This window comes from Homo sapiens, chromosome 16 (genome assembly GCF_000001405.40).
Source record: "Homo sapiens chromosome 16, GRCh38.p14 Primary Assembly".
NCBI lineage: Eukaryota > Metazoa > Chordata > Mammalia > Primates > Hominidae > Homo > Homo sapiens.
Genome location: NC_000016.10, coordinates 31,791,517 through 31,815,620, shown reverse-complemented (window position 1 = coordinate 31,815,620; position 24,104 = coordinate 31,791,517). Strand labels below are relative to the sequence as shown.

Here is a 24,104-nt window from a genome sequence, read left to right as displayed (position 1 = left end):
AAGAATCTTTGTGTATACTCCCACGCAGGTTTTGTAGACACTTATTTTTGCATCATACACTTAAATCATAGCAAATGATTTTAATTGTGGCGGGATTCAAGCACATTAAAACACCGCACGGCCAGGCACAGTGGCTCACGCCTGTAATCCCGGTACTTTGGGAGGCCGAGGCGGGCAGATCGTGAGGTCAGGAGATTGAGACCATCCTGGCCAACATGGTGAAACCCCGTCTCTACTGTAAAAAGTAAAGTAGAGGTTCCTCTTCAAAGACTCTCCTCCCCATCTAATTAGGAATAAATAGTAACTTCTCTTAGAAGCAAAATTTATTCAAAGACTTGTGCTAACATTCTTAAATATCTGCTAGCTGTAATAAAGAAATCAATATACTTTATGTTCTTAGCTCTCACAATTTAGCCTAAATATTTGTCTGGCATGCTTATACTGGTCCAAGCAAGCATTAGGTCATAGCCTGTTCCTCTTCCTTATTTAAGAGTGTTTTTACCTTTCTCAGCATTCCACAAGTTACTTCCTCCTTCCTTTTTTCTCCTCTACCTTTGCCTCTTTTTAAAAGTTCTAAGTTTCTAGCCAATTGGGACAAATACAGAATGTGAGGTCCCATTCCAGCCAGTGAAAACCGGACACAGCAGTAGGGTGGATGCGTCAGGTTATAAATGACTTTGTCTCCTTTGTTCAGTGTACTCTCGTGGCAAAACTGCCGGCGAGTGTACTTTTTCTGCAATAAATAAAAATGGCCTTACTAAATAAATTAAATTTATGTTCAAGTGTTATTTCTTTACGGCACTGGGGAACAAGCATTTCAAACACTACTAAAAATACAAAAATTAGCTGGGCATGGTGGCGTGTGCCTGTAATCCCAGCTACTTGGGAGGCTGAGGCAGGAGAATCACTTGAACCCAGGAGGGGGAGATTGCAGTGAGCTGAGATCATGCCACTGTACTCCAGCCTGGGGACAGAGCAAGACTCCGTCTAAAAAAAAAACAAAAACAAAAAACAAAACTGCATATCACTCTTTTGAATGTGTCCAACACAATATTAATGGGGTGGTGATTTGGCCCTGACCACCATATATATATAAATATATATACATACACATATATATGTGTGAGTGTATATATACACATATATATGTGTGTGTGTGTATATATACACATATATATATATATATATATATTTTTTTTTTTTTTTTTTTTTTTCTGAGGCAGAGTCTTGCTCTGTCGCCCAGGTTGGAGTGCAGTGGTGTGATCTCTGCTCACTGCAAGCTGCGCCTCCCAGGTTGACACCATTCTCCTGCCTCAGCCTCTGGAGTAGCTGGGACTACAGGCACCCACCACCACACCTGGCTAATTTTTTTGTATTTTTAGTAGAGAAGGGGTTTCACCATGTTAGTCAGGATGGTCTTGATCTCCTGACCTCCTGATACCCCTGCCTCAGCCTCCCAAGGTGCTGGATTATAAGCATGAGCTACCGCACCCGGCCAACCACTATATATTTTTTAAAAAACCAAACAATTGCCACAATTTCAGAGCCTGTTATTGGTCTATTCAGAGATTCAACTTCTTCCTGGTTTAGTCTTGGGAGGGTGTGTGTGTCCAGGAATTTATCCATTTCTTCTAGATTTTCTAGTTTATTTGCGTAGAGGTGTTTGTAGTATTCTCTGATGGTAGTTTGTATTTCTGTGGGATCGGTGGTGATATCCCCTTTATCATTTTTTATTGCGTCTATTTGATTCTTCTCTCTTTTCTTCTTTATTAGTCTTGCTAGCGGTCTATCAATTTTGTTGATCTTTCCAAAACACCAGCTCCTGGATTCATTAATTTTTTGAAGGGTTTTTTGTGTCTCTATTTCCTTTAGTTCTGCTCCGATTTTAGTTATTTCTTGCCTTCTGCTAGCTTTTGAATGTGTTTGCTCTTGCTTTTCTTGTTCTTTTAATTGTGATGTTAGGGTGTCAATTTTGGATCTTTCCTGCTTTCTCTTGTGGGCATTTAGTGCTATAAATTTCCCTCTACACACTGCTTTGAATGTGTCCTTACCAACCAAAAAGAGTCCAGGACCAGATGGATTCACAGCCAAATTCTACCAGAGGTACAAGGAGGAACTGGTACCATTCCTTCTGAAACTATTCCAATCAATAGAAAAAGAGGGAATCCTCCCTAACTCATTTTATGAGGCCAGCATCATCCTGATACCAAAGCCGGGCAGAGACACAACCAAAAAAGAGAATTTTAGACCGATATCCTTGATGAACATTGATGCAAAAATCCTCAATAAAATACTGGCAAACTGAATCCAGCAGCACATCAAAAAGCTTATCCACCATGATCAAGTGGGCTTCATCCCTGGGATGCAAGGCTGGTTCAATATACGCAAATCAATAAATGTAATCCAGCATATAAACAGAACCAAAGACAAAAACCACATGATTATCTCAATAGATGCAGAAAAGGCCTTTGACAAAATTCAACAACCCTTCATGCTAAAAACTCTCAATAAATTAGGTATCGATGGGGCGTATCTCAAAATAATAAGAGCTATCTATGACAAACCCACAGCCAATATCATACTGAATGGACAAAAACTGGAAGCATTCCCTTTGAAAACTGGCACAAGATAGGGATGCCCTCTCTCACCACTCCTATTCAACATAGCGTTGGAAGTTCTGGCCAGGGCAATTAGGCAGGAGAAGGAAATAAAGGGTATTCAGTTAGGAAAAGAGGAAGTCAAATCGTGTCCCTGTTTGCAGATGACATGATTGTATATCTAGAAAACCCCATTGTCTCAGCCCAAAATCTCCTTACTCCTGTTAATCTCAGCCTCCCGATCAGCTGGGACTACAGGCATGTGCCACTACACCTGGCTAATTTTTTATTTTTAGTAGAGATGGGGTTTCACCATGTTGGACAGGCTGGTCTTGAACTCCTGACCTCATGTGATCTGCCCACCTCAGCCTCCCAAAATGCTGGGATTATAGGCATGAGCCACCACCCCTGGCCTTTTTCTTTTTTCATTTCAAATTGTTTGTGGATTTTTTTGTTTATTTTTCATAGCAATACATTTTTAAGACCTTCAGAACACAAGCACATGGTATTATATTGGGGTCAAACTCAACATATACATTTCTTTAAAGATTATTGACTTCCCAATACTGTTGAATTCTCCTACCCAAACATTTGGTGGCATTATTTTTCATTTGTATAAATCTATTTTCATGTTTTTCAGAAATCTTTCCACCAATTTCTTACTAAATTAAACACAATTTTCTGTAGAATTCTGCCAATTTTTTTTGCATTGATGAACATAGTCACATGACATTCTCATTCAATTAATGTGATTAATTTCATCATTGAATTTCTTAATATTGAATCATACTTCCCTTTATAAGATAAAGGGTGATTGATTATGCATCAATATACTGATGCAATGGTTTCTAATATTTAATATTTTCACTCTTAAATTTGCATGTTCTATTTGTCTATAGTATTCCATATGGCTAAATCTAGGCAAGGTTCGAGTATCACCTTTATAAACCCTTCCTAAAAAGTATTTCAGGAAAGATTGACCACACTATAACTCTTGAGAAGTTTAAGTAGCATTGGTTTATGGATTACTTTATCGGTAGAATTTCCCTTTCAACTACATAAACTTGGTGTTTGTGTGTGTGTGAGGAAATTCCTTATTAAATGTCTTTGTTTCTTCTATGAATATTGCTCAGTTTAGAGTCTATCTCTATTGAGTTACATTTTGATAAAACATATATTCCAAACACACACACACACACACACACACACACACACACACACACATACATATGCAGTCTACATGTGTGTATCAACTTGCATTGAATTACACAGATGTCTCTATTTTCTTGGTCAATATTGAACCTCACGTTCTTCCTGGCACTGTAAACTGTTGACAAATACTTCTCAAGTTACTTGTGTGATCCCATTTCTCTATTTATAATTCAATGATTGTTCATTTAAAGAATTTGGGGAGTAACAGAAAATGAGAGTTTCAGCAAAAACACATCCCAGGAGGCACAGAATCCAGCACCCACCGCGCTTCATTGTCATCCCCTTCTGTCTCCGACTCCGCATTTTCTGCTTCCTCCAAGATAGCCCCTGTCTGCCTCAAAGGATCATGGAAAAGCAGAGCCTCTCCAGGCACTGCCATCTCTCTGGAGGTGCTGCAGGGAAGTTGTCATTGTTTTTGGTAATTGTAACTGGGACAAAGGTTTTCAAAAATATTTTCAATTCCCCAAGTGTGTACTGTCATTGCTGCCACAGGTAAAGTATAATTGCAGTGCGGTGGGGAGGTGAGGTCGCAGGGTCCCGAGCCCATATCTCAGACCTGGCCGCCTCCCTCCACACACTCCCTGGCCGTGACAGTCACTGGTTTCCACAGCCCAGCAGCAGGGAGGCGCCTGGTGGGTGTGTTACATTTTGATCTGTGAGAGAGCACCTGTAAGGTTAGGAAGTTGTCAGGAGGTGGGGTAAATGCTCTGGTGTGGAAAGAGGACTCCACTGGGCCAGAAACTGACCAGTGTCAAGGCCATGTGGGGAAAGGAAATAATGGCTGGGTCATGGGCTAAGTTGTGGAGAGGGAGCAAAGTTCCAAGAGCATGAGCCAGTCCCCAGCTGCAGCTCACTTAACAAAATCCTCATGCTTGTCATTGTCGGTTTTTGATGGAAGAAGCCAAAAATCTGTTTTTAAGTTTTTTTTTTTTAATTTAAGACGGATTCTTGCACTGTCACCCAGGCTGGAATGCAATGTTGCAGTCTCAGCTCACTGCAACCTCTGCCTCCCAAGTTCAAGCAATTCTCCTGCCTCAGACTGCTGAATAGCTGGGATTACAGGCGCCTGCCACCACGCCCGGCTAATTTTTTGTATTTCTAGTAGAGATGGGGTTTCGCCATGTTGGTCAAGATGGTCTTGAAGCCCTGATCTCAGGTGATCCACCAGCCTCGGCCTCCCAAATTGTGGGGATTACAGGCCTGAGCCACCGTGCCTGGCCCCCAAAATCTGTTTTTGTTGATCCTTCTTGTCTAAGATCTCCTTACCTGTTAAGTGGGAAGAATGCATTTTTTAAAAAAGTTTCCTAGAATAATTTGGAAATTAATCCGCTAGCTGTTCTATCAATTCCACAAGAATCAGAAAGATTTCTAGGATGAATGGAAGCATTTCTACAATTCCTTCATGCCTGTGATAATGTATAAGATGTAGCTGATTAAATTATCTTATTCTTCTCAAAAGTATTAAACATAGGGCTTTAACCTACTCTGGACATATAAAGTACCTAATGGAGACCGTGATGTGTGGTGACAGGAAACATCTGGTCTCTGAGAATGACGAAAAGACCATATTCTTTCATGAAGTCAGGGGAGGAGCGGTCAAGGAAAGGTATCTTGATGACCTTAGGTTTTCATATTAGAACAAAAATCAAGGACTTCAGTCGTTTTCTGAAGTAAATTATTTGGTAATATTTACTCTGTCTTCAAAAATGTTCTGAAGCCATTCTTAGGCTCAATACTCATCTTAGTAACACTTAATTCAGTGAATAATTTTCCCTACCTCGAGTTTTCCTTTTACATAACAGACTTATATTTTAATATACCTAACAATTCTGACATTGAAATAATTTTTTTTTTGAGATGGAGTCTTTCTCTGTCACCCATGCTGGAGTACAGTGGTGGGATCTCAGCTCACTGCAGCCTCCGCCTCCGGGGTTCAAGCAATTCTCCTGCCTCAGCCTCCCAAGTAGCTGGGACCACAGGTGCATGCACCACCATGCCCAGCTAATTTTTGTATTTTTAGTAGAGATGGAGTTTCATCATGTTGGCCAGGCTGGTCTCGAACTCCTGACCTCAAATGATTTGCCCACCTTGGCCTCCCAAAGTGCTGGGATTATAGATGAGAGCCATGGTGCCCAGCCTGAAATAATTTCATTTGATATTTTTGTATTCATAAACAAATACTAAATTTATCTGTAATTCATGACAACCTGTTTCTCCTTTGCACTGTTTTATCTCCTACTCATGTCCCTTGACCCCTTGCTTAGCAACAGTCATTTCTGTATCCTTCTTGGTTAAGATGAGAAAGAATCTTCTTTTTTAATTTCAGCATGAAATCATTTAAGCATTCAATAAATATCATTTGGTCTTGTATGATTATTCTTTTAGGATTATACTAAATCAGTGCATCTATATTCTACTTGGATTTCTGAATCATTATAGGTGATATTTGCTCATGAAATAAGCACTTAGATTTAAATGAGAAATTGCCACAATCAAAAATGAAGAAAAAACTACATCCAGGTTTAAAGAAAGCGACAATATATACAACATGAAATGTGTGAAGCATTAAAAAAATACTATGTCCAAGGGTGAGACACACAGTGATTAAACACATTGTCCAATTTTGATTCTGCCTCTTACAAAGCAGTTACTTTAGAAAATTCATTAAGCTTCCTTGTGTAAGATCTTCTTACCTGTAAAATGGAAATAGTAAAGCACTTATACCACAGAATTATTGTAAAAGTTACATGCAAAACACTAATATAGTACTCCTCTCATGGGGATGCATATGTTCTTCTTTTTAGAGCAAAACTCTTATTTAAAAAACAGGGTCTAATAAGAAAATGTCTAAGTTGGAAACAATGGTAAGTGTACAATAGTGGATTTTATTTGCAAAAGTGAAACTTTATGTTTCCACACAGGGTTCTCTCACTTTGAATGTAATTATCAGTCACTGAAAAATGACAAATGGCCTCCAAGGATTTTGCAATAGGCATGATCTTATTATCTCAGATCATGGTCGGATTCCTGGGGAATTTCTTTCTTCTCTACCACTATAGTTTCCTTTGTTTCACCAGAGGTATGTTACAGTCCACAGATCTGATTCTCAAGCACCTGACCATAGCCAACTCCTTGGTTATACTCTCTAAAGGAATCCCACAAACAATGGCTGCTTTTGGGTTGAAAGATTCCCTCAGTGATATTGGATGCAAATTTGTGTTTTATGTTCACAGAGTGGGCAGGGCTGTGTGCACTGAGTGTCTTCCAGGTCATCACCATCAGCCCCAGTGAATTCAGGTGGGCAGAGCTGAAGCTACATGCTCACAAATACATCAGGTCTTTTATCCTGGTCCTGTGCTGGATTCTGAACACGCTGGTAAATATTACTGTTCTTCTACATGTGACTGGCAAGTGGAACAGCATAAATAGCACAAAGACAAATGATTATGGATATTGTTCTGGAGGAAGTAGGAGCAGAATTCCACATTCATTACATATTGTCTTGTTATCATCCCTTGATGTTTTGTGTTTGGGGCTCATGACCTTGGCCAGTGGCTCCATGGTTTTTATCCTGCACAGGCACAAGCAGCAGGTCCAGCACATTCATGGGACCAACCTCTCCGCCAGATCCTCCCCTGAGTCCAGAGTCACCCAAAGCATCCTGGTCCTGGTGAGCACCTTGTGTTACTTTACTCGCTCTCCTCCATCTTTACATATGTCTCTTTTTCCTAATCCCAGTTGGTGGCTGTTGAACACCTCTGCACTGATCACTGCCTGTTTTCCCATGGTCAGCCCCTTTGTGCTCATGAGCCGCCATCCCAGGATACCCAGGCTGGGCTCTGCCTGCTGTGGAAGGAATCCACAGTTTCCTAAGCTGGTCAGATAGTTCTCCGATTTATGTGGATTGTCTTCTTTTTGTATAATGAATGGCCGTTTGTTGATTTCTTCCTGCAGGTTAAGCACCGCAATGGGCAGTCAATTGCAGTGTATATAAGACTCAGAATCCGTCTTTGCCCTTCAAGGATTTTTCACGTATCATAAACAACAGTTACAGATGAAATGTTTTTGCAAAGTGCTTTCATAATTTTCATTTTGTTTGTAATTTCATAATTTTCATTTTGTTAATGTTGCAATGGAGAAGTTAAGAGGCAAATTATTAATTAAAAATGGGCCTCTAATAAGTTGGAACAATGCAACTTTAAACCAATTAATAAAAAATGTCATGGAATTAACTGGGCACAGCAGTGTAAGAAAAGTTTGATGAAATAAAGAAGCTTAAGTAATGATCAATGAAGAAAGTGAGAAGAAAGTCATAGTTCATGTCCTTTTTTGTTTTGAATTAATCTTCATTTTTTCCTATTTTCAAGTTGTAAAATTTTCTTTTTGTCCTTGATAATTATACTTTATTGAGACTAGTTTTGGTTATTTTTTAAAAATTCTGTCCCTCTATAATTTTTCTGATGTGTAGATCCTGTATTCATGCTTCTTATATTTGTTCGTTTAAAATGAAAAGTTTATTTGCTGACTACACCAAATAGGATGCAAGCACTGTCATGACAGAAATATGCAGCAGATCAACATACAACAGTAATTTAGTTTAAATGAAGGGAAATCTGTAAATGTTACGACAACGTACTCCCAAGAAGAACCCTTTCTTCAGTTAAGTTAATTATACATTTCAATAAAATAAAGGGTAATGGATTAGTGGAAGTTAGCTTGTGAATTTTTCTTAAAAATAAAACTCCAACTCTATTAATCCATGCCAGTTAAACACTGTAACTAAAATTTCCAAATAAGCACAAAAGGAGATGAAGCAATTAGTTACCTTTTCTGCTTGAACGGTCTGGAGGAAAATGGTTACTATAAATACAGCAGGCAAACTGTTAGAGTGACCTATCTAGAACATAGTGTACTAAATTTCAGTCTCAAATTGTACTAAATGCTCATCATTAGTATGGCACATTTGGTCCATGATGTGGTTTAACGCCAAGACAGATCCCAATTTGTTACAGAAACACATAGATTACTGTTGCTTTTTGTTTTTAAATACATATATTTTAATAAGCCAGGTATACTTCCACATACAAAGGCAGGTTTCCCAGGAGAAATTTATAGGAAGTAGTCTGGGGTGTGCTGTGTAACATGAGGCTCGCCACAACAAAGTGCTGGGTCAAACTGAAGGAAGGAATATCTTAAAGCGTCATCTAGTTCCATGATCGCAGCCTGGTTACCACAACAATAACAGTAATTGGGTGCACTGAAAATAGTAACCACATTCTGATCATGACACCAATGGTATCCCTCCATTACAAGCTGGTGGGCACGAGAAACCAGTGTGAGACCATTGGCATGGTTAAAGGTTTCAGAAATGTCTTGTCCAAATGTGTAGCCAGCACACAGGGTGAAATACCCCATCCACCACGATCATCTGGATCTGACCGTAATAGATCATACATTGGGCCCTCATGTGGAACTTCTTGTAAATGACCCAGGGCTCTTATATGATCCAGTGTGTATGTGGATGGAGACAGGCCACCATGGAGGCAGAATATCTGTCCATCTACTAAAGTTATAAGTGGAAGATAATCAAAGAGATCTGTAAAGTATTTTCAAACATTGGCATTCCCATACTTTCGCGGACATTCATCATAAAAGCCATATACTTGGGTAATTTGTTGGCTTTTGTGATTTCCTCTCAATATTGTAATGCATTCTGGATAATGAATGCTACAAGAAGAGTCACAGTCTCCACTGAATAATATCCTCTGTCTACATAGTCACCCATTAATAAGTAGTTTGTATCTGGTGATTTTCCACCAATTCTAAAGAGTTCCATAAGATCATGTAATTGACCATGCACATCTCCACAGACAGTATCAGGGCAACGAACCTCTTGCACATCTGATCCTTTTGTTAAAATTTCCTTTGCCTTCTCGCACAATTTTTTGTGGGAGGAGAGTGGTCCATTTCAAATATTTTAAGGTAAAAATGGATGCAGTGGTCTGGGTGGAGTGAAATGAGCACAGGACTGTAGAAAGAGGTTTTCATTAGAATTTGACTCACAGCCGATGAATATGAGACTCATCAAGAAAACTGCCTAATTTTCGGGACCCTGTGAGGGTAGACTATGCTGTATTAGCAATAATCCCAATTAGCCTGTTCAGAAGAAATAAGCATCAGGGTGACCTCTGGGAAGTGAATCTGGTGGAACCAGTCACCGTCGGTGGAGGAGCCGACGCCAGGGACCCTGGGGAGGCTTATGCTTCCCTTTTTCTAGGGAGTTGGTGGTAATTGCTGCCTTGAAATATTCAAGGAAGCCCATTTGAAAGAATCATAAAACAAATGGGGTAATCATGTAGCTGAAGTGAAAAATTTCCACAGACATTTTCTTATTATTGTTAGGTAAAGCAGGTAAAATGTCTTGAAAATTCAAATATTTGAAAAATACAATGCATAAGTTTGGCCTAATGGACATATATCGAAATTGGGCTATGTGTTGCATTACTCAGCAATATAGAACGATTGAAATAATGCAATCACAAAGGGAGCTTTAATGAATGTAAAATATTTTAATCATAGAGATTAACCTTGCCACTATTAAATATTTTTAAATAGCTTATGAAGCAATTTTAAATACTAAACCTAAAAACTGAGCAATATTCCTAATTAATATTTAGAACTTTTCAGATGAAAAGACAATAAAAATTCTTCATATTCAAGTTGTACACTGTATTTGTTCAAAAGTAGTTAGAGAAAATTAGATGGCTGCAAATTCAAATGCTACAATAGAAGATGCCTGACAATATGTGTTTTTGATGTCAAACTCTGAAATTAAATTATAAAAAGAAGCTTAACCTTGGCCAGGTGAGGTGGCTCATGCCTGTAATCCCACCAATTTTGGAGGCTGAGGTGGGCAGATTACCTGAGGTCAGGGGTTTGAGACCAGCCTGGCTAACAGGGTACAACCCCATCTCTACTAAAAATACAAAAATTAGCCAGGCGTGGTGGTGGGCACCTGTAATCCCAGCCACTTGGGAGGCTGAGGAGAATCGCTTGAACCTGGGAAGCGGAGGTTGCAGTAAGCCTAAATTGTGCCACTGCTCTCCAGTCCGGCCAACAGAGCAAGACACTGTCTCAAAAAAATAAAAGAAGCTTAGCCTAAATAATGCGTTATCATAAAGTATAATGTAAGTAAAAAATTTAGAATAAGTATTACATGGAATAGAATAAAATAAAATTAATGATAAAATAGAGCTTACTGCAATGTTAATAAAAATGTGAAAAGATATACTTAATATTAAAAAATAAACAGTATTTAAAACTTCATGGAGATTTTTAAAAAGTCTACGTTCTAAGACAAACAACTTTATGCTAATAAATTAGAAAACTTAGAGGAAAAAGTGATTTCTGTCAAATAATAAGATACCTAATACATACATTATGTCAAAACTTAAAACTAAGCAAGCGTAAGTCATGGATTTGCATGTATAATTAATATACAGGTATACAAAATGATTGAAAAGAGTTCATTTCAGAAATACAGGACATGCCAATGAGAGAATAAGCTCATATTATGACATATGACATGAAAAATTAAATGGGACAACAGCATTCATTGAGTAAATCACTTCATGCCTTTGTAATTTTTATAAGTAAATTAACTTAGAAAAATACTTTACCAGAGAATGTTTTAATTATTGGTGATAACAATGCATGAGGATATTGCAATAAAACATAAATGGCCAATGAGCACATGAAAAGATGCTCAGAATTCTTATTCATTAGGGAAATTCAAATCAAAACCACAATGAAGTGTTAATTCACACCCACTAAGATGGCTATACTCAAGAAGACAGAGAAACAGAACTAATAGAATGAATATCTACATCTGTATATCAAGGTTTACATACTTGTTCACCCACGTGTGTGTGTGTGTGTGTGTGTGTGTATGTGTGTGTACAGAATGAAGCCATTTACAGTAGTGTCTCAGTAGAAGGCCTTCCCCAGCCCCCTCCAGGTTCTGGATTAGATAACTTTTTTTTTTTTTTTTTTTTGAGACAGAGTTTCTTTCTTGTTGTCCAGGCTGGAGTGCAATGATGTGGTCTTGGCTCACTGCAACCTCTGCCTCCCAGGTTTAAGCAATTCTGCTTCAGGCTGGCAAGTAGCTGGGATTACAGGCACCCACCACCATGCCTGGCTAATTTTTTTTTGTATTTTTAGTAAAGACAGGGTTTCACCATGTTGACCAAGCTGGTCTCGAACTCCTGACCTCAGGTGACCCCCCACCTTGGCCTCCCAAAGTGCTGGGATTACAGGCGTGAGCCACCGTGCCCACCTTAGAGAACATTTTGCTCCTGCACTCATTCCAGTCCAGCACTTGTCCTTGTTCACAGTGTGGTGTGCCTGCCTTTCACCTAGGGAAATGGAATACATTACCTCATCAACACCTCTTTGTCAATCTCTTGTCTCTGCTCTGTAGACTTTTGAGCCATGATCTGAGGAGTGAATGTGATGGGTCACTGGGTTTCTGACAACCCAACACCTGGGTCTGCTCAGGACAGGCCAGACCCACATGACATCACCCCCACTGTGCGAACACACATAGGGAGGTGGGGTGTGACTGTCCAGGTGGGATTAGGGTGGTGGCCAGACATTGACTGGCCTGCTCTCAGCTGCCAGTGTTACCTTTGAGTACCTCCTGAACATGGCTAGAGGTGATGATATTGAGGGCTGACCCAATGTCAGCAGCTTCAGAAAAACCTATCATTCAGGGTTTTCTGGTGCCAGAAACATAGGAAATTGGGATCAGCAGGATGACATCTAGTTCTCTTTATTGTCTTCAGCCAAGTGAGCTGGGAAGAGACTGTTTCTAGAATGTGGGTGCCTGGTTTCCAGTGTTCCAAGTTCTGTTGGGGTCTATTGTCAAGGAAGTGAAGTCACTCTTTGGGGTCCCTTATCTGGGGCTACTCCTGAAGGGATCTTCTATTGCCCTCAGCACTCCTGGTTCTCAAACCTTCAAGTGACACCGCTGAGTGTCCTGGGTTTCTGACTTGAAGGCAGCAGATAATGGGAATTCTCAGCCTCTATAGTTACATGAGCCAATTTCTTAAAATGAATAAACATTTATTAAATATTAATATGTATAAATACATTGCATGTATTTATTTTAAGTAAATTAGAATAATTTATTAATTCAATGATTTGAGTTATTTAAATTTAAACAATTTAAATTGGTTTTGTTTCTCTGGAATACTCTGTCCGAGAGGTCATGTCATAATCACCTGAATAATCTGCAGGTGCAGGAATCACTTTGTTCAACGATACTCAACCATGATGGATTGTTTAGCAGAAGACAGACTGACACATTTGACTCTGTAAATTCTGGGAAACTCTCTTCTTTATCATTATGTCTCCCTTTTCCTCACTGGGTGCAGGTTAAGGTGCACAGATTTGATTCTCATGCACCTGATCATAGCCAACTCCTTGGTCATTCCCTCTAAAGAAATCTGGCAGACAGTGACATCTTTGGTTTGAACAACTTCAATGATTTTTCATGTGAACTTCTATTCTTCCTTCAGAGACTGGGCAGGGGTGTTCCTCCTGGCAGCACTTGCTGCCTGAGTGTCTTCCAGGCCATCGCTATTTCCCCAGGGACTCCAGTAGGGCAGAGCTCAGAATAATAGTTCCCGAGCTCATTGGACACTTGATTCTCTCATGCTGGATCCTAAACACACTAGTAAATAATTTTCCTCTTTATGCGTCTGGCTATAACTCAATGCAGCCATCACAAGGAAAATAGATAATGGATACTGTTATGCCATGATTCGTGTCAAAATCTCACACTCCCTGTGTGCAGTGCTGTTCTGATTCCCTGATGTTTTGGATTTGGGAATTATGGCTTGGGCCAGAGGCTCCATGGTTTTCATCCTGCGCCGGCACAAGCTGCAGGTCCAACACACTCATGGGACCCACCTGCCGTCCAGGTCCTCCCCTGAGTCCAGAGTCACCTAAACCATACTGGTCCTGGGGAGCATTTATGTATGCTTTTACATCGTCTTTTCCTTTTGTCAATTTTTGGCTCCTTTTATTCCTCTTAGGCGGTGGCTGGTGAGCATTTCTGCTCACAATGGTGTGTGTTCCCCAACTCTCAGCCTTTTTGTTTCCATCAGCTGTGACTCTGGTGTCTCCAGGCTCTGCTTTGCCTGACACAGAATACAAAATCCGCTGATTTTATCATTTATATGCATACTGTGTACTTTTGCACAATGTCCAGTTGTTTACTCATCCCCCACAGAATTATAAGCACAGTTGTGAAACTGACGTTACAAGGGATTGGTGATACATGCAGAAAAACACCTGCATATGTCTAACTGTGTGGGGATAATCAGACTATGTTTGCTATTCATCAAGCAATAATATTGGAAGATTATACTTTAAGAAATGTAAAAATAATATTAATTATAATGATGTTAAACTACTTTAACTGTATTGTCTTTTTTATCTGATATATCACCATCTTCACTGATTAGTTGGTTAAAATCACATATAATGTATCTTTACTTCTTCTACTTTAATTTTAATTGGTTAAAATTACATATAATGTATCTTCTAATTTTTCTACTCCAAGAGATATATAACTAAAACATAAATACATATAAAGATTATGTTTTAGTTGTATCTCTTGGAGGAACATCTGACTGAATATAGTCAAATAATATTTGACTTTGACAGGCATAATTTAGCTATTTACGTTTAATATTTTAAAGGTCATATTTGGCATTGGATATACCAACTTTCTGTATTCTTCAGAATACCCATCATCTTTTCTGATTCTTCCTATTTTAACATCTTCTATGTTATACGTATATTTTAAAAATTCATAGTTAACTCTGTTATTTGGGGGTTATATCAGTAGATCTTACTTTTTAACAGAGGTTACAACAAACTTTAAAATATTAATCATGGTATAAAGTTATTTAATACTTTCAACCTCCACTTTGACAACATTAAGGCATTAAATTACTAATCCAGCCAGGTGAGGTGGCTCATGCTTGTAATCCCAGCACTTTGGGAGGCCAAGGCAGGAGGATCGCTTGAGCTCAGGAGTTTGAGACCAGCCTGGGCAACACAGTGAGACCCAGTCTCTACAAAAAATTAAAAACATAGCCAGGCATGGTGCCACATGCCTGAAGTCCCAGCTACTCAGGAGGAGGCCAAGGCCATGTGTTTCACTGTCTTGCCTAGGCTGGAGTCAAATGGTCACACCACTTGACTCCAGCCTAGGTGACAGAGTGAAACCCTATCTCAAACAACAACAACAACAACAACAAAAAATCACTAATCCATTTATGTTCCCTCTTTGTGTTTTAATTGATGATATGTATTTTTTTTAAAAAAGTTGGAATAGTTGCACAGGCCATGAGTGCACAACTAAATGAAATTTCAACAAAGTGAACCCACCTCTGTGTGCATGTCTTAGGTTGCAAAACAGAACTTCATCAGACCCCAGCCACCTCCTTGTGCCCTTCCCAGTCACTACCCCAGGAGTAACCATGACTCTGACTCCTAACAGTATAATTTATGTGTACTTTCAACTATTTGTATCTTATATACATGGAATCATATAGCATGACTTATTTTCTATGTAGATTTTGAATTCCACATGTTTGGAAACTTATCTGCCTGATCGCATGTTATTGTGGTTCATTCATTAGAGTGGGTGATAGAATTTTTAGGTTGGTTGTGGTTTTTGCCCTCTAAAGTAATGGCATCATGTGAACATCAAGCAATGAATTTAATCATGCCTTTATAAATGTACATGAGTAGTATTCATGATGGGGCTATTAGGAATACTGGTTGTTTTTTGTCTTCCACGTTGGAAATAGCAAAATAGTGCATAGAGAGGCACACTGAGCTTTTATTCAAGCAGAAATATGAGAGTTCACCAGAGAAGCATAGCTAACTTCAGATCCTGAGGAAGGGAAGGTGGGCAAGCAGCTTGGGTGGTGGCATTCATCTGAGAAAAGTGAGTGAATCCCTAGTATGTGAAAGGGACAGAGAGTCTCTCTCAGTGACTCACATTTTTCACTGGGGATATGTGGAACTCAGGACATGGAAAATATTTTTATTCACTTTCAGTTTGAGGAAGAGTGTCAGAAACTTCAGGAAAAATATCATACGAGGGAATGCTGGGGCCCTGACAATCCTCAGAAACCTCAAAGTTCCTTGTACAATCCGTTAGCATTGTAACCTTATCAAAACTTATTTATTTTTTTGCTATACAGATTTACCTTTTATTGGAGCTTTATTTTGTTACAGGTTGTAAGAAATACATTGTTGTTTTAGCCTTTGTGATAGGAACATCATATTCCCAAACCCCAAGTATTAATGATGTTATCTCTACTGTAATTTTTACTGCTTTTTAACCCTTTGCTGTAGTCTGAATATTTGTGTGCCCCAATCTCCAAATTAATATGTGGAAACTTAATCCCCCATGTAATAGTATGAGGTATGGGATCTTTGGGGAAGTGAATAAGCCAGGAGGGCACCATCCTCATGAATGGAATTAGTGCCCTTGTGAAGGAGGTTGAAGGGAGTGCCGTTGCCCCTTCTGCCATGTGAGGACACACCATCTATGAGAAATAGGGCTCTCATCAGACACCAAATTTGCTGATGCATTGATCTTGAACTTTACAGCCTCAATAGCTGTGAGGCTCTCTTAACTGTGAGGCTCAAATTTCTGTTGTTTAACTTTGGTCTGTGTCTGAATTTTTAGCTACAATGGTCTTTCAGTCTTTTCATCAATCAAGATGTCTCATAGGGATGGCCAATCTTATTTTTTTTCCTTAGAGTTTTTTTGGCTTATTTGTGTTTGCATCTGTAAGATTTTTTCCCCAATAACATGCCTACCTCTAATACCTAATGGTATCTGTATTGGAACAAAATTAAATTAATAAATTAGCTTAAGCACAACTGATGTTCATAATATTTTTTCGACCTAAAAATGTGTAATTTTCCATTTGCTTATGTCCATATTTACATATTTTAGGTACTTTCTATGGCTTTTCTTATATGCTGCTGAATGACTTTTGGGTGAATAATGAAATTAAGGCAGAAATCAAGAAGTTCTTTGAAACTAATAAGAACAAAGATGCAACATATCAGAATCTCTGGGACACAGCTAAGGTAGTGTTAAGTGGGAAATTCATAGCACTAAATAGCCACATCAAAAAGTTCGAAAGATCTCAGGTTAACAACCTAACATCACGACTGAAAGAGTTAGAGAAGCAAGAACAAATCAGCCCTAAAGCTAGCAGAAGATAAGAAATAACCAAAATCAGAGCTGAACTGAAGGAAATCAAGACATGAAAAAGCCATTTAAAAGATCAACAAATCCAGGAGTTGCTTTGCTGAAAAAATTAATAAGATAGGTCACTAGCTAGACTAATAAAGAAGAAAAGAAAGAAGATCCAAATAAACATATATTGGAAATAATGAAAGAGATGTTACCACTGACCCTACAGAAATAAAAATAAACATCAGAAATGCCTGCAAATACCTCTATGCACACAAACTAGAAAACCTAAAAAAGATGGATCAATTCCTGGACGTATACACCCTCTCAAGACAGAACCAAGAAGAAATTAATTCCCTGAACAGACCAATAATGAGCTCCAAAATCAAGTCAGTAATAAATAGCCTACCAACCAAAAAAAGCCCAGGACCAGATGGATTCACAGCCAAATTCTACCAGATGTACAAAGGAGAGCTGGTACTATTCCTACTGAAACTATTCCAAAAAATTGAGGAGGGAGGCCTCCCCAACTCATTCTATGAGGCCAAAACCTGGCAGAGACACAACAAAAAAGAAAACTTTAGGATCAATATCTTTGATAAATACTGATGCAAAAATCCTCAACAAATAGTTGCAAACCAAATCCAGCAACACATCAAACAGCTAATCCACTGGAATCGCTGGAACCCAGGAGGCGGACGTTGGTTCAACATACATAAATTAATAAATGTGATTCATCACATAAACATAACCAAAGACAAAAACATCATTATTATCTCAATAGATGCAGAAAAGGCTTTTGATAAAATTCAACACTGCTTCACGTTAAAAATTCTCCATAAACTAGGTATCAAAGGAACATACTTCAAAACAATTAGAGCCATCCATGAAAAACCCACAGCCAACATTATAGCTATGGGCAAATGCTGGAAGCATTCCCTTGGAAAACAAGCAAGAAACAAGGATGCCCACTTTCACCACTCCTATTCAACATAGTATTGAAAGTCCCAGACAGAGCAATCAGGCAAGACAAAGAAATTAAGGCATTCAAATAGAAAGAGAGGAAGTCAAACTATCCCTGTTTGCAGATGACATAATTCTATACCTAGATAACTCCATGGTCTCAGCCCAAAAGCTCCTTCAGCTGATAGACAACTTCAGCAAAGTTTCAGAATACAAAATCAACATACAAAAATCACTAGCATTCCTGTACACCAACAACAGCCAAGCTGAGAGCCAAATCAGGAAGGCAATCCCGTTCACAATCACCACAAAAAGAATAGAATACCTAGGAATACAGCTCACCAGGAAGGTGAAAGACCCCTACAGTGAGAATTACAAAACACTGCTCAAGTAAATCAGTGATGACACAAACAAATGGAAAAACATTCCATGCTCATGAATAGGAAAAATCAATATCATTAAAATGGCTAGACTGCCCAAAGCAATGTACAGATTCAATGCTATTCCTATCAAACTACCAATGAAATTCTTCACAGAACAAGAAAAAACTATTTAAAAATTCATATGGAACCAAAAGAGAGCCTGAATAGCCGAGGTAATCCTACGCAAAAAGAACAAAGCTGGAGGCATCATGCTACCTGACTTCAAACTATACTACAGGGCTACAGTAACCAAAACAGCATGGTCCTGGTAAAAAACAGGCACATAGTCCAGTGGAACATAATAGAGAGGCCAGAAATAAGGCCACACAGCTACAACCATCTGATCTTTGACAAAGCTGACAAAAACAAGCAATGGGGAAAAGAATCCCTATTCAATAAATTGTGCTGGGATAACTGGCTAGCCATATGCAGAAGACTGAAGCTGGACCCCTTTCTTATACCATATATAAAAATCAATTCACAAGAGACTAAAGACTTAAATGTAAAACCAAAAACTATAAAATACCCTGGAAGACATCCTAGACAATACCATCCTAGACAATACCATCCTAGACATAAGAATGGGCAAATATTTCATGACAGACACAAAAGCAATCGCAACAAAAGCAAAAATTGATAAATGGTATCTAATTAAACTTAAGAGTTTCTGCACAGCAAAAGAAACTATCAACAGATTAAACAGACAACCTACAGAATGAGAGAAAGTTTTTGCAAACTATGCATCTGACAAAGGTCTCTTATCCACAAGGAACTTAAATTTACAAGAGAAAAACAAACAACCTCATTAAAAAGTGAGCAAATGACATGAACACACACTTTTCAAAATAAGACATACATGTGGGCAACAAGTATCTGAAAAAAAGCTCAATATTACTGATCACTAGAGAAATGCAAATCAAAACACAATGAGATACCACCTCACACCAGTCCGAATGGCTATTAAAAAGTCAAAACATAACAGATGCTGGTGAGGTTGTGAAGAAAAGGGAACACTTATACACTGTTGGTGAGAGTGTAAATTAGTTCAACGATTGTGGAAAGTAGTATGGTGATTCCTCAAAGACTGAAAAACAGAAATACCATTAGACCTAGTAATCCCATTACTGGATATATCCCAGAGGAATATAAATCATTCTGCCATACATACATGTGAATGCTCATTGCAGCACTATTCACAATAGCAAAGACATGGAATCAACCTAAATGAGTGACAGACTGGATAAAGAAAATGTGGTACATATACACCATGGAATGCGACGCAGCCGTAAGAAACAACAAGATCATGTCTTTCACAGAAACATGGATAGAGCTGGCAGCTATTATCCTTAGCAAACTAATATAGGAACAGAAAACCAAATACCATGTGTTCTTACTTATAAGTGAAAGCTAAACGATGAGAACACATGGACACAAAAAAGGGAACAAGAGACACTGGGGTGTACTTGAGGGTGGAGATTGGGAGGCGGGAGAGGAGCAGAAAAAGTAACTATTCGGTACTGGGCTTAACAACTGGGTAATGTAATAATCTGCACAACAAATCCCCGTGACATATATCTACCTATGTAACAAATTTTCAACCTATGTAACAAACCTTCACATGTACCCCCGAACCTAAAATAAAAGTTAAAAAAAAAAGAAAAATTAAAAAGAGGGACTACACCAAATGTGATGAGAATGCAGGGGAAATGGAATCCTCGTACAGTCTTCATGGGAATGTGTAACGATGCCACCCTTTCCATAACAGTTTGGTGGTTGTTTCCTTTTTTAAACATTAAACTCTGAAGTATTTACTTAAGAGAAATTGTAATGTATGCCTATTCAGCAACTTGTACATGAATATTCATGCCAGTTTTATTTGTAATAGACAAAAACTAGAAACAGTTTACATGGTCTTTAACTAGTGAATGAATAAAGCTCTAGAATGCAATTTTGCATTGAAAGGCAATGAACTGTTGATACCTGCTACAGTGGGAATGGATCTTATGCTGTGTGATTCTATTTATATAGAATTCTGGAAAGTGAAAATCAGTCTGTTGTTACTGGAAGCAGTGGTTGCTTAGAGATGGGTTGGAAGGAGTGCAGAGGAAGAATTGCAATGGGGGGTAATCATGATAAGATGTCTGGGGGGAATTGATATGTTCATTGTCTTGACTGTGTTGATGATTCCCCAGGTATACACATACATCAAAACAAAATAAACCTTTTAGATATGTGCAGCTTACTGAAAGTTAATTATACTTTAATCAACCTGTTTTAAAAAATAAGCTCAATTGAAATCTGTAAAATGGAAGATTAAAATTAGGCAAAAAATATAATCCAGGTTGAAGAATAAATAAAAATATGATCAACAAGCACTTAATACATTCTGAAAGTTTTAGAACAAAGAAAATGAAACAATAGCATGGTGATTTTATCATTTCCTCAAATTGAAAAAATACCAACATTTCTCCATAGAGAATGCTATTAAAGGTTAGTAGATATCAGTCCTTTATTGACTCAGGGTGGGAGAGAAAAGAGCTACAGTCTTTTTGACTTATAGGGGGAGGATCTACATATATCTTCATTTTGCTGTACTTTTCAATACACAAACACATATGAATGATTATACCCTAATATTTTCTGATTACAAAGAAATGCGTGACTGTCATAAAACATCCAAAAACATCAAATGTCTAACATGAAATACAAAATTTGTCAGTGGTTTTAGACCTAAACGAAACACAGTTTCCACTTTGAGGATATTGTTCAAACTCCTTTCCCAAGAGTGCCCCCAGTTGTGTCATGTATTAACACAGTGTGTCTAAAATTGCCTGAGAAGTAGCAGGTCTTTGTTCTCACTCACACAGCTGTGTCCTCTGTTGAATAGGGCCTGGGCGACCCCAGCTAAAGCCTCATTTGATCCACCAACAGGCTCCTTTATCTCCTCTCCAGGGAAAGGGTGGATCCATTTTCTTCCTAGGAGGAGTTCTGAGCTTCTCCACCCTAGGGACCAGGGAGTATGGCTGGGATGAGCCAGCCCTCAGTGCGAAAGACATAGGCCACCTGGGTGGCCATGGCACAGGTTTGTACCACAGCACAGAGGCCCCTGGAGCCAGGTGAGCTCAGACAGCTGCTCCCAGGTCAGCAGAGAATAGGCCTACTGTTCCCACACCTGGGCTGTGTTGTGATAAATGGCTTCAGATGGAGTGTGCAGAGAGGTCACCAGGCTTTTCTGAAGTGGTAGTGGGTGGTCTCCTAGAGACTGAGATCTGGGCCGCTCGCTGTGCCCGGTGTGGGCCTCTGGGGGTCCCCCACAGCAGGCATCATGGGTCTCCTCATTTCACTGATGTGTACAGTGTCAGAGGCCTTTGGTTTCTTTTCCAAAGTCAAGCAGTCCTTTTGCACTTTTGGCTCATGTCCTTGATGCTGTCCTGAAGAGGAAGCATGTGAGTGAGAGACTTACCAGAACAGCTCCCATGGATGCTCATTCCCAGAATGTCCCCATGCACCTTCAGGTGAACCCCACTTGTCTTTCCTCCTCCTTCCCTGCCCCCTCTGTCTCCCTAAGCAAGGGAGGCTAAACCCCTCCTGGGACCCCAAATGCTTTCTGGATGTCAGGATCTCTAAAATCCTCTCAGCCACTGAGAAACCCCTTTCCTGCTCAATCTCTGTATAAATAACCTGCTTATCTGCCCTTTGGAACAAAAAAGCAAGATCCTACCTGCTCTATCTTGGCAGCTGTCCATGGAATGGATTTCTCTCTTCCTAGAGTTCCCCCATCTGAGCTGGACTCTGATTCTGTGGATAAAATGGGAGTTTGAGTGACTGCCTCCAACTGAACACCTTAGGCACTCTAGTCCATCCTGGACACACCAGAGCTGAGGTAGCCACCAAAACTCGGTTCTTCTCTGTTCTCCAGAGTCCAAGATTTATAAGAACCTGGATGCCAAAGAGCTCCCAGTTCCCTTCCCAGAGGAGACTGTGTTTACCCATCCACTATCTCTTCTCACCTTGGAAGAATCACATCTTACATAATTTAGCAGTGCTGCTTCTGACTTTGAGTTTAGTTTCCTTGGAATTCTCTTCCTCATTTGAATTGGGCTCTGATCTCAGTGCAAAAGAAAGTTTAGGTGACTCATCTCTTCCTAGGCACAGAGCTGCAAAGTCTATACTTGACCCATATTTGTGGGTCATTCTCTCAATCAAGGCTGTTCACCAGTGTCGAGTGTGAATGGGAAGCATAGAATTCCAGGGGATGATCGCCATATTTCTGAAATCTCTCTGATGACTATAAGTCATTTTCCATTTCTAATCTCAAAATGAAACCCCACCAAAGACACAGATCAGTATCCCTAATTCTACCCCTCTTGCCAACCTCCATAGGAATAGCCAAAGGCCTTACCTTGCCTTGCATGTGGCTCTTACTGGAATGAGAAGAGAGTGTCTTATCTTTTCTTCTGATGGTCTTTCCTCCTTATCCAAGCCCCTTTCTGTAAAGGAGACCTGTTGGAAAAAAGGTGGGTCAATGGGGCATTGGATGGAGGGGCAGTGGGAGTCTGGTCTTCAGTTCCCCATCCTATGGTGAAGCTCCAGTGAAAGGTGCTTGCTCTCTCTCACATGCCCAGAATCAGGTGCAGGTTGTTCTTGTGAACCTGCTTTTCTAAGCCCTTAAGCTGGACATGGGTCAGTCCTATTGGCTGAAGAGACTGCTCCCTCCTGCCACTCATCATGACCTCAGTAAGAAATTTTTCCATCAGTGAATGCCCTGGGGACCTAGATACAGATAAGGGGAGACTTGCAGAGCCCCATCATCGTGTTAATAAGCAGGAATTCAAAGCTGGGGGCACAGGAACAGGAATGCAAGGAACTTATGCTTATCTGATTTGTGCTCCAATACCCACCTAGAAGTATTTAAGACCCTGCCCAGATTTCAAGATGCAGAATTAGACAGACCACATATTGACATGTGTATATATATTTTGCACATGAAGAAAATTATATGTAGTGTTAAAATTGTACACACAGATGTTATAATTTCTCAAATGCTTGGAAATGACAAATATCAAATTATAGTTCATTATATTAGATGTAGGCATATGTGATAAGATAATAATGCAGAGAAAAAATAAACACCAAATAAAATATCCTTTCCTAGCTTGAAAGTGGGGGAGATGATTAGATCAAATGTGACTGCATTGGACTGATTAGATCATATGTAAAGCTAACCCAATCAACTGAATTTTTGAGGCAGCAAAAAGTCCAGCTGAAGAGGGAAACTCTCCCTCTACCTCATTCCCCTTCAGTCACCCTGGGAGCCCCACTATGATCTGTAGAGTCTGCTCAGCATCCATGATCTAAGCTGACCCATTCAGCTGGATTATCATCATCAACTTTGCATGCTCTGGTTCTTTCTCTCTGTGTTTCTGTTTACAATAAGTTGTGGATATGACTTTGCATTATGAATTTCCAGACACCTAATGGGCCACTTGTCTGTTTCTGTCCTGAAAAACCAATACCCAAATCCAAAAATATATCCTCACAAGAACCTCTGAAAGCCACCTGTGATTGCTGCTAACTCATTGACCTCCCTGCTCCTCAACCCACAGAGAACATGCA

General features: G+C 39.3%; 1 long non-coding RNA gene and 3 pseudogenes across 2 annotated transcripts; 2 read left to right on the top strand and 2 right to left on the bottom strand.

Annotated features, from left to right (window-relative positions):
* Positions 1-6,767: 6,767 nt before the first annotated feature.
* VN1R3 (vomeronasal 1 receptor 3) lies at positions 6,768-8,036 on the top strand (annotated as a pseudogene). The gene has a single exon (NR_171047.1). The product of NR_171047.1 is annotated as a vomeronasal 1 receptor 3, transcript variant 1, non-coding (transcript).
* Positions 8,308-9,749, bottom strand: PPP2CBP1 (protein phosphatase 2 catalytic subunit beta pseudogene 1; annotated as a pseudogene).
* VN1R67P (vomeronasal 1 receptor 67 pseudogene) lies at positions 13,140-14,015 on the top strand (annotated as a pseudogene).
* On the bottom strand, positions 20,728-23,829 carry LOC107983990 (uncharacterized). The gene is made up of 3 exons (NR_171680.1): positions 22,891-23,829; positions 22,210-22,286; positions 20,728-21,919 (listed from the first exon to the last, which is right to left on the bottom strand). It is a non-coding gene; the product is annotated as an uncharacterized LOC107983990 (long non-coding RNA).
* Between the last annotated feature and the right edge of the window lie 275 nt (positions 23,830-24,104).